Source organism: Homo sapiens, chromosome 8 (genome assembly GCF_000001405.40).
Source record: "Homo sapiens chromosome 8, GRCh38.p14 Primary Assembly".
Lineage (NCBI taxonomy): Eukaryota > Metazoa > Chordata > Mammalia > Primates > Hominidae > Homo > Homo sapiens.
In genome coordinates this window covers 80,515,661-80,527,851 of record NC_000008.11, presented here as the reverse complement: position 1 = coordinate 80,527,851, position 12,191 = coordinate 80,515,661, and the positions used below count along the sequence as shown (strand labels likewise).

The 12,191-nt window shown below is 34.5% G+C and overlaps 1 protein-coding gene across 3 annotated transcripts in view; it reads right to left on the bottom strand.

Annotated features, from left to right (window-relative positions):
- Positions 1 to 1,586: 1,586 nt before the first annotated feature.
- ZBTB10 (zinc finger and BTB domain containing 10) overlaps positions 1,587 to 12,191 on the bottom strand; it is a 40,673-nt gene continuing 30,068 nt past the window's right edge. For 2 of the 3 annotated variants that reach the window (NM_001277145.2, NM_001105539.3), the window contains exons 4-6: positions 9,273 to 9,449; positions 8,898 to 9,070; positions 1,587 to 8,629 (exon numbers count right to left, since the gene is read on the bottom strand). In NM_001277145.2, the coding sequence (NP_001264074.1) occupies positions 8,324 to 8,629; positions 8,898 to 9,070; positions 9,273 to 9,449 (656 nt within the window). In that variant the 3' untranslated portion in view covers positions 1,587 to 8,323. The remainder of the gene's footprint in view (positions 8,630 to 8,897; positions 9,071 to 9,272; positions 9,450 to 12,191) is intronic. The other variant, NM_023929.5, reaches the window with a different exon arrangement.

Sequence of the window (12,191 nt, the reverse complement as noted above, 5' to 3'; positions counted from 1 at the left end):
TATATACCAAGTCTTCTGAGAAAAGAGCTTTTCTAGTTCTACAGACTTATCCAATATAGCTGATGGAAACAAGCAGCACTTAAAAAAATATATTCCTATCCTAGAAAAAGACGTTAACTGACCAACTTTAATGTCTATGCCAGTTAATACAAAAATGTCAAGCACATGCCAAAATTAATAGTTAACATCTTTTTCCCAAAAGGCTGTAGTGCATTTTTAAGGTGAAAGTATTATTTCCCCTCTTATTATGTTGAAGGGGGACAATGTAAAGTGCTGCCTGTATGCATTCTTAATCTGCACTATTTTATATTTGTCTTCATCCTGTAACCTGTTACCCCTCCCAAACACTCCTGCTTTTAAAAACTGCTGATACAAGTCTGGGTGTGGTGGCTCATGCCTGTAATCCCAGCACTTTGGGAGGCTGAGGTGGTTGGATCACCTGAGGTCGGGAGTTTGAGACCAGCCTGACCAACATGGAGAAACCCTGTAGCTACTAAAAATACAAAATTAGCCAGACGTGGTGGCGTATGCCTGTAATCCCAGCTATTTGGGAGGCTGAGGTAGGAGAATCACTTGAACCCGGGAGGTGGAGGTTGTGGTGAGCCAAGATTGCGCCATTGCACTCCAGCCTGGGTAACAAGAGCAAAACTCCATCAAAAAAAAAAAAAAAAAAAAAAAAGGCTAATACAAAGGGTCTTTTTGGTAAAATTTCCCATTTGTCTAATTTTTCATCTTTTCCCATCCCAACTGACTTGACTTGCAGTATAGTAATAATTGAGAACACTATATACCCTATGGTCTCCTTATTCATCAAAGGGCCTACCCATTTTCTCACAAGTGGGCACTCAATGTATATCTGTGGAATGCATGTATGACCAAAGAGGAAGAGTCCACAGAATGAAACGGGAGCTCACATTTGAGTGTGGTACAAGTCACCCGGAGCAATGAAAGACCACCACAGACTGGGGTGTCAGAGTCAGCTACCTTTAAAAGGCAAATACAGGATAAAAGTTTAGAATGATTCCTGGCTCCAAAACACTGCCTTCAGTCTAATCTAAGATTTTAATAAAAACATATTTACGCCTATGAAATAATAAAACGTATAACTTTTAGGCAAATATAAGACTAACAAAAACATACCTACATATGTAAAATTCTAGACTTCACCTTAGGTAAAGTCCTAAAATAACTTCTTCAAATTTCCTTTGCCTAATGAGGATATGGCCCAGGACTAGTACTCTGGGATGCTGATTCAATTCCTACATTTGCTATTATTTGGAATTGGCACATTTTATTAATGATTTAGGTGACAAGTACTTGAAAAATTAGTGTGGGAAGATCTGCTTTGGAGAATTACCCATGTCTGTACATAAATGCCATAATCCTAATTATCTGGATTATTAGGAATCCAGATGCTACAAATATCCAAGGAGACTACTTGGAAACAGGGGACAGGTTGACAAGAGATGCTAAGCTTCACATTACCTTTTACATGAATATGTCTTTCATACGGTAAAATATAAATGCCAAAACCCAACATACCTCTTTACAAATACAAAAATCATGTTGGCAACTAAAACATTAGGTCATTTTAAAATACCTTTATTGATGTATTATTGCACTCTACATCAAAACTCCAACAGGGCTTTTCTTCTAGTTTTTTCACGTATAGACCGAATGTTGGGCATTTAAATGTTAGTGGTGTATATGCCAGACATTTTAAAACAAATACTTTGCAGCAAATGGCTAATAATTCTAAGTGTTCTGTTATGGAGACGGTTTAAAAAAAAAATCACAAAGGCTACTTTTGCATTGAGATTTCCATAGTAACATTTGCAGTAGGTTGGATTTGGTCATTACATCTTGCAGTAACATTATCTACTAGGGTTATGTATCCAGGGAAAGGATCCCAAAGGCTCAGTGTGACACCACGTATCATATGCTTGGCAACACAAAATAACTAAACGAAACTGGCTTGATAGCTACATGCCATATGATACTAATAGGCAAAATCCTTAAAGTTGCTAGTGCCTTTTGTCACTCACTTAGTAAATACTTTTGATCAACAAGCTATGTGCCAAATACTATTTGAGTGTACTCTGGAATCTTCTAACTTCAAACTTATCCCTAATCTCAAGTATTTATTGAATGAGTTTGGTACAGAAAAATAATACTGAAATTGAAGTTCAGGAGTCCTGGGTCCTAAAACTGACTGGAGTCACTGTAGCAACCTCTCTGGGTATGCTTCATTAGTCTCTTACAGTCTCTTTCAACCTAAATAATTCTACAATAATCCTGAAACCATCTTATGTATTATCTCACCAACTGTTAGGACCTGCGCCAAGAAGACTGTCTTGTGTTTATCTTTCACCAAGATTCTAACACATACCTACTTACACTTGGAAGATTAGCTTTTTCTTATTGCCAAATTTAAGACTGGCCGTGGTGGGAAAAAATCATCTGGCTGACAGTAAGGCGGCAGTATTAATAGCAGGTAAGGCGCCATGCAGTTATGGAATCTGTAATATTTTTCATTCACTTTAATTAGCTGAATAGATTTCTATAGTTCACTTTCTTTCTTTAAACTTCAGAAAGACAGTTATGTCATAGCCTAAATTCTGAAGTACCTTTAGTTTTCTTACCTAAACATAGATCCAATAATTCAATTTCCTACACCTGCTCCCAAACACTGGTCTGCGGTGATTTGTGGTGAAAAAGAAAGAAGTTCAGATAGTGACTTTTTCTATTAAGCCAAACTTGGTGTCTAAATTCTTAATTTCCTAAATTATGTCCTTTTTAGTGTCAAAACATCCTTCGTCCAGTACTTATACATACCAAATTTTATCATTTTAGTGTTTGTTGACTAAGCAAAATAAAAAGCAACTACAAGGGTCCCAACACCTAAAAAAAACTAAGCACAAATCCAACTCTGAAATAGAAATGTCTGGTCAATACTGCCTTTGTCAAAATGATTAAGTAATCTCTTTCACTTTTCATAGCGTTATCTCCAGTGGTAGACCTTTTTCTGAAGCAGCCCCATTTCATCTTTGGATAATTAAAAACCGATTTTCAATCTTGAGCCAATGGTCCCAATCATGACCCCTTAGAAACATATAAAGTTTCTTAATTCTTCTGCCTCATGATAGCTCTTTACATGTTTAAAGATACTAGGCATTATAATGCTATGTGGGCTCCCCTTTATTGTGCCCTTCTCCAAACAAAATCAACAAACTCCTGTTTTTCTAAGTCAAGTCTGAATATCTGGCCAGTTCTGATTTCCTTTGCTCTATTACTAACTTTGAAATAACCTAAAAAGCTAGTTATGTTTTCTCTACATTAATAAAGTTTCAAAGACTTCAAATTTATAACATCACATCACTTGTAGTCAATCAGTCCACAAATATACAACATGGGATGAAGCAGTTTACCTTTGCTTTTCAACCCATTTCCAAGATTATGCACAAATGTAAATTACAGGGAATTTTTAATATTTTCTAAAACCTGTAGAGAATCTTAAAAGATACACTGATTACAAATCACTGCTATTAATTAAAGCAGGATTACTTGGAGGTAGTCTGTCATTTATGTACTTTCATATAAAAACATACAAATAAACAAAAAACCCTTATAGTATTCCATAATTCAAACTTGTAAGCCTTAAGTACAAAGATATCTGAATTATACATAAGTCAAAGTTCATTAAGGTGTTCCCCTTACCCCAATTAGTCTAAATTAGTACACTTGCAAAGAAATCTGAATTAAATGTCAGTCAATAAAATTCACAAAGCCAGAAGCAGTTTAGTGCTCACAAGTTTATATTTTTAGGTTTGAATAAAGATTCTTGTGTATTTTCTAAATACACAGACAAAACAGTTCCGGAAGTTTACATACATGTCTTAGGACACTTATATTAGGTAGGTAATTTACATTTTAAAAAGTTGGTCTTCGTAAAAGATCTTCCCAAAGAGCTTTTACAAACAGCAGGCGGAAGTGTTCTTTTGTTTACAGTGTTCAAAATGCCAATGCTCCCACTAAATAATGGCCTCAACCATCTCTCCTCAACCCAAAATATTGTTCTCAATAGCTAGTGTACTCCAAATTTAAGTACCCAATGTCATAAAATTTAGGGCTAGAAAACATCTTTTGAAGTGTGCTTATCCCTAACACATTTTAAACTATCTAGAATTCTTTAACTTCAGTTGAAAGCAGAGATACAGCAGGAAAAAAAAAAAAACTTTCCATTTTAAGTCCTAAAGTGACTAAACACCTGTTAGTTCTAAGTGTGGATATTATGTACCATAGTTAAGTTTAAGGATCTGGGTGACTGAACGGCACAAAAACTGGGGTTTCTATCTAGTTCTTCAGATAAAAACCATTCTTTTATAAAATTAAAATGCCACAGCCAGTTAAGAGCATGTGCTACACTGATGTGTCTTAATATAGTCAAAGTGACAAAACAACTGCTTTATGAAGAAAGAGTAGTAAGGAAATTTATTGGGGGGAGGAAAGACACTCAAAATTCTAAACACAGCTGTCTTATAGGAAAAATATAATCCATAGACTCCATTAAGAGCTGAAATTCTACAAGAGTTGTTTAATGAGGCAGCAATAGAGCCTCCCTGAAAGAGTATGGGCTTCAGAATCAGACGTGGTCAAATTCGAGCTCTGTCACAGCTGTGTTAAATTAGCCAAGTTTCTGAATTTCTCTGAGCCTTTCCTCATCTATAAAATGGAGACAATTAGCACCTACCTTATAGAGGATTAAGGTAAAATCATGTATACAGCACAACGGCAAGTGTGGGCACTCAAAAAAAAAATTGGTAGTTTTTTTAATCGTTTTTCAGAAAAATGAATCTAAACCCTTCATGCTATGTTCAGAAAATCCTAAAAAATATAAATAAAGCTTACTAAAGTTTTAAAAATTAAGATTTTTAAACCTATTTTCCATCACACTTTCCCCCGTATGATACTACTACAGTGATATTCAGGCCGTTTACACCATTTTGTATTAATATAAATGCCCAAGTCCTAATCCTTTCATTTCCTATTTTCTCCTTCCTTTCCCCCATCTTTTCTTATTTCTTTTTCCTCTTGGTTCTTATCTATTATTAAACAACTTTAAGATGTGTTATGCACCTATTATGTACCAGTGTTCTAAGCACTTTACATGAATTAACGCATTTAGCTCACTCTTCTCCATTAGGATAGCTGTACCTAACCCAGCTAGTGTGTTTTCCCCAATTTCAAAGCTACTCATTACTGTTCAGTTTCCCTTTCCTATAACGTTTCTTCTTTTTTAAACTCTTAATTGCTAGTGTGCTAAATTTAGCAAAATATCTAGTAAATAAGAAAAATGAACAGGGGTCCATATGGAAGTATCTGTCTCTGAGAACTCTAATAATGCACAATCTTGATTTATGAGACGGTCTGTAACTACAGAGTGAATATGAAAGAAAGTTTATACTCTTCCCCTTCATTAAAAGCTCTAAAATACTTTTTCATTTAAAATATAAATTACAAGAGACAACTTCGCCAAATGTGTAACATAATTCTGCCAGAGTTCCACAGACAAAATTATGAGTATTTCATTGTTACCTCTGAGACCAATCATAAGTTCTTAGTATCTATCAACTTCCTGAAATTTTACTGTAAGTCAGAAAAAGAATACACTTAAAAAAATAGAAATGTCCAGTAGTATACCTTAGTACTAAAACTATTTTTTTAAAAGATCTAGATGGGAAAAGGCAGTCCCTCGAGATCATGAAACAAAATAAGTTAGGCAGTCAGCAAGTAGAAAAATCTGTCAATTCTGTTTCCGGTAAAATGTTTACTTCAAAGAAATTTTTATATAGGCTGAGGCTAATATATTCAAGAGTATAAACACTTTTCCTTTGGATTACCTAAAAACAAACTTTTAAAGTATCATATTTCAATTGACTAAAAATATAGCCAAATCTGTCACAACACAACATAAAGTAATGGACAATTATAGAATATTTTAAATTAACAGTAACAAGCCATCTACATCAAACCTTATTTCCAACTAAAACCAAACAAAAGCACAACAATCCCGTAGTGTACCAAGTGTGTATTTCAATTTACTGTATGCAATCTAACAAAAATTTGGTCATAATTTACCAGATATACATAAATGATTTAAGTAGTAAAAGAAAATTCAGCTTCAAGAGAGTAAGTTCATATCTTGAGGAAAAGTAAAAGTACATTAAGAATGTAAAGCCAAGTCCAGTTTCTATGCAATAAGTGAACTGTAGTCTAATAAAGCAGATTTAGGTGATTTTTAGATATATATCTTTGTTCTTTAATATATATTTATATATAGACAGATCTACCAATTGTAAACTAGTTTATTTAAAGGAAGGGGATAAATGGGATGAAAGAAATCTTTATACTATACTTACATATTCACAAAGAACATTTTACGTTTAAAATACTTTTTCATTCATAGTATCTTTGCCCAACTAATTTCTACCAGAAATACATTTTACTCATTTGTCTAGAACATTAAGAAGTACTCATCTGTTTTAAACAAAAATCAAACCGAAACTATTCTTATCTGTCAGGTTTACAGTTATGTAGAAACTACAATATAGATGACAAAAGATGCATCTAACCATGTAACTGTAATTTATCTTTGATTTATCCAAGCAGAAACATCATTGTCTAACAATAAACCATTATTCTACTGAAATCAGAGACAATGATAAAGCTTGTCTCTTAAAAAACATCAACTTTTCAACTTTGATCAGATGGAGCACCAAAGGGATTATATCTGTCAAAGCATCTTTGCAATTTTTTCCACATAACTAGCATAATTTAGTTACCTGATATAAAATAGGAAAATATACTCAATTTTTATTTAAAAGAAAGCTGAAAATATGACATCCCTCAATCTTATATAATATACAATATGCTAATAAATGCCATACATGTTAACAATACGTGAAATGCTGCTGAGAGTTCCACAATCAGCTAATTCATGTCACCAGGCTAAGTAAATCTGACAATTTCACCTCAATATGTCACCCTTTGTACCCTGAAGAATTTATAGAATAATAAAGCTTCTCAGAATTTTATTTGTAAGATTTTTGAGACTGTTGAATCATGGTGACTACTAGAAAGACTGTATCAAGGTGTAGTGACTTCAAGGACAGAAAAAAATAAATTAAGTATTGATCATAATTTCAAAACAATCAATATCCCGCTAAGTATGAAACAAAAGAGAATGCACATTTTGTGTTAATTTTCATGATAAAAGGGACACGGGTAAAAACCTGATATTTCACTTATATTGCATAACAAGCTAACCAAACTGGACATGGTGGATAAATTATAAAACAAATCATTTTACTTATTTCTATGATTTTTCTTTCAATTAGGTCTTTCAAATAGGACTGAGGTATAGTACACTGGCAAAAATAAAGAGGCAAACAAGAATAGTGCCAAAGTAACAGATACCCAAAACCAAATACCATGTCAGAAAATATCATATAGTAACCATTTATCAGATTAGAGCAGCAGAAGAAAGTTACTTCTAAATCATAATCATTTTAGTGGTATTTGTCAACTTCGCCACGGTAACTTCATAACATCATTCTTCATTTGTGAAGTAGTAAAATTCATGTCAAAAAGGAAGAGGGGAATGGAGGAAGTCAGTTAGTTCATTCCAATAAATTACCTCTCCAGTTCTTATAAACATGCCCATCAGCACAAAATCGAGAAATAATACCTAAGACTAGAAGAGACTTGGTTTAAGTTATGAAGCAAATTAAATGGAAAAATACAAGAAAATAGAACCAATGGGGTTGAAAAAGCCCCTCACTGAAAATCTGTATTAAAAAAAATAAAATTAATAAAAATAAAAATAGAAACAAAACTCTACTAGTACAAACTAGCCTGAGTGGTTTGATGGACAGAGTGATTGGGTCAATTGTCACTGTACTTCCATAAACGGATTTTCTCCATTCATGTTAAAGTAGCACATGAATGTAAGCTCTTTAAGGACTATTTTCATAGGACCCAAATAGTTACTGTATATCCTATAAATAAAAAATATTTTACTTTGATAACTGACTGAGTATGTGGGGACTCCATGTAATCCAACCACATGGTTGTTTGCTGTATAGTCCTGTGCAAATATAAAAAAAAATTTTTTTTGCTATAAGGCTTTGACCCTACAGTTTTCACAGCAACATAACTACTATCCAGCATGTACCATATTTTGCAAGCCTTCAAGTTCAACAATCCAAATTGTCGATTCATATTAGGTCCAAATGCAGCATCCTTGAGGAGTATAGTAGGTCAGTTAATCATCTAGAGACATACAAACTTCTCCTGATTCATCCCATCGAGAGGGATCATTCTGATCTTCTCCATCATCAACTAGCTCTTCATCAGCTTCTCCTACTTCATTCTCCTCGTATTCTTCATCCCGAGGGAATTCTGTATCCTGTCCCTGATCTACACCTTCTTGCCCTCCTGGCTGTGATTTATCTGCACAGTCTACACAAACACCATAACGTCGAGATCCATGTCTTATTCCAACACTGGCTGCTAACATGAAGATCTTCTTACACACCATACATTTGTATTTTTTATCCTTTTTATGCACCTAATTGGAGGGGGAAAAAATCCAATATAAGGATATTATATATAATAGAATGCATTTGAACCACTCAAATTAAACCACACATTTAATAGTGAGTGAATACACCAGTTTCTCTGTAAAAAGCTCACTATCAGTTCATAAAGTCAAACTGTTTAAAGCAATTTAGGAGACAATCTTCCTTAAATTCACAATTAACTGTTTAAATCCCTTTAAACTTCACTGACATAAATATAGTTTATCTCAAAGATCAGCTGTATTTAAAGTTACTTACCAGGGAATGTCTTTTTACATGTTCTCTTCGAGTAAACAGTTTTCCACAAATATCACAGCTAAATGATCTCACTCCTGTGTGAATGAGCAAGTGCCTTTTTAGTGTTCGTCTGTATTTGGCTACATAGCTACAATGAGGGCATTTTAACTTGTTCATGATTAGAGATGATTCACCTATGAGAATTAAAAAAAGAGAAAGTGCTTATTACACATTAAACAGAAAACTTGCTATCAAAACTTCTTATCTCTATCTCTGAGAACAGCAATTATGTGGAGCTACTGCTACTTGGTTTTTAAAAAATGCAGAACATGAAAGCTTTTAATTGTTAACAATTATTTAATTAATTCTGTATTTGTTTAGTTGACTAATACTTGCCATTTTCCCAGGTTTCTTGTTTTGGCCAAGATTCTGGCAATAATCCATACTTGAAATCATTTGAAGCACCTGGTATCAATCCATACTTGAAATCATTTGAAGTACCTGGTATCAATCCATACTTGAAATCATTTGAAGGACCAGGCATCAAACCATACTTGAAATCATGTGAAGTACCTAGTACAAGTAAAAATTCTGAATTAATAATGGTAATAAAGATCTGTCTCTCATCAGAGTCAGAAAACAGAAATTATATTTATATCCTACAGGCATTATGATAGAATTTCATAGTATGAGTTAAATAAAACTGTATTTTAGTCTAAAATTGAGATGTCTTCCTACTTTATTATCACAATTAAACAAAATACCATTCAACTATAGTAGAAGAAATTCAGTTAAAAAAATTAATCATGGGCCAGGCACAGTGGCTCATGCATATAATCCCAGCACTTTGCGAGGCTGAGGCAGAAGGATCACTTGAGCCCAGGAGTTTGCAACCAGCCTGGGCAACATGGAGAAACTCCATCTCCATCTCTACAAAAAAATTTTAAAAATTAGCTGGGCATGGTGGTGTGTGCCTGCAGTCCCAGCTACTGGGGAAGATCATTTGAGCCCGGGAGTTGCAGTGATTCAAGATTGCGCCACTGCACTCCAGCCAGGGCGACACAGTGGGATCATGTCTCAAAAAAAAAAAAAAAAAAAAAAAAAGGTGGCGGGCGGGAGAAAAAAACATGAATATCATTTAATTGTGCAGACGCCACAAGAAATTACCCTTTTAAAGGATGGGTATATTCAAACCAGAACTCCTAATAGTTGCTTTTTCTAACTACTCTATCACTTAAGATTTTATCACCCTAAAGCCCAGCTATCAAATGGGATATTCTCCTTATTACGAATCCAGGACAGGCACATAATTTTAAGATTAATTGGTACAGAAAAATAGACTAAGAATAAAGAATATATATAGGATAATTAAAAATGTAAAGTTCTATTACTAGATCCTTGTTTCAGACATATTAGGGCAAGGTAACTGAATGCTCTCAGGGTTCCCTGAAATTTCTTTCTAACTCCATCCTTAAATAAAATAACGTGCAGAAGATAGAATCAAAATAGAATAATACATGTGCCTAAGGATCTTCAGATTAGCAAGGACAGGAATTATATCCACTGGATTTAATTCCATCTTTAATGTAATTCCTTGGACCAGGAACCTTTTGGCAATAGGAATATATATCCAGAATCTTCCACAACTATTGCCACCCTGATCCAATCAATCATGAGCTCTAGCCCCTGGACTGTCTTCAGTAGCCACCAAAAACTTGTCTCCCTACTTCCACTGTTGCCTTCCTAGAGTCTGTTCTCAGCAGAGAAATCACAGATTCTTTAAAACACTACCTTAAGTCAGGTCACCACTCAGCTTACAAGGCTGCAAAGACTACCCACCCTCACAGTAAAAGCTAGAGACTTTCAATATCCTCCAAAGCTTTACCCGGTGGAGCCCTGGCTTCCAACCACCCTTTCCTTTCAGTCACTCTATTCCAACTATACTGACCTCTGTTCTGTTCCTCGTCCATAATAAGCATGCTCCCAATTCAAAGTGCTTAAGCTTTCCTCTGCCTAAAACACTCCTTGCCAAGATACAGTTCACTCAAGCAGCAATAATACATTTTCCTCCCATGGGCATCACGGTTTTAAAAGTAAAGAATGTTTACCCAAATGGATTTCCTAAGAATCACTTCCCATATATGTTCTCAGACATGCTGTCCCTCTTAAAAATTAAGATAACTTAAGATTCCTTTTTGGTGAAAGTCTTAATACCCAACAAAGTAAAAATGTCTCTAAAATATTTTAAAACTGCACATCATTACTATTACTGTAAACTGTGCTGTACTTGGAATACCGTCACCGGTTTTTGATGTAAAGAAAGCCCCCTGAACCCATAGCTACATAAATTCAACTATAACTCATTATAGCTGCACCTAATTAGTGTTTGGGAGTAAGTTGTAAGAATCCTAAAGTGAAGCATTTCTGTGTGAGGGATAAAGAATGGAACGGAAGTGGTAGCCTGTGGAGGTCAACCTACTGTTAGTTTCACATCTCTAAACAAAGTTTGAGCTTTATGATCCATATTTCTTGTCTAAATCAGTACAAACTCCTGCGCCTATCTTACTTGCCTTGGTTTTTCTATTGTTTAAGACACATGCCCTACAATTACTTGTAGAATAAATGTTATCTAGCAAATGCCAATACATACTTCTGACTTGCTCAAAATACTTGGAAAACTAGTACCAAAAGACACATTAGATGTTCTAGTATCTACAATTAAATATTATTCACAACATGTAAGAATAAGGAAATAGGCCAGGCACAGTGGCTCGTGCCTGTCATCCCAGTAATTTGAGAGGCTGTGGGAGGATCGCTTGAGCCCATGAGATTCAGGCCAGCCTGGGTGACAGAGTGAGACCCCATCTCAAAAGAAAAAGGAGACAGAAGAATATCCCTAAAACCATTTGTAAACTGAAAATCCAAGATTCAACATCCATGATAACAAGGAATGAATACTCTATCTGGAATACAAAATGGTAATTCAAATTAAGTAAACCTTGCCCCAAATTTCTTTCATCTCTCCTAATTCTTATAACAGAGAATACTTGTAGGAATTACAAGAGTGGCCTAAATAAAGGTACTGTCATTGTAATTCAATACACTTAAGGATCATTAAGGTCATTATAGATCTCTTCAAAATGGTGCTTACTGATCAATAATATCCTTCTGGGTACATTATTCCACAATAGAAAACTAAGGAAAAAGCAATGTAAGTTTTTGACATCAAAATCATCAAGCAAAGGCTGATCTCAGATGCAAAAATACTAATGAATCGAAATGTCCCCTTTAAGAGGAATAACCCTATATCAAAGG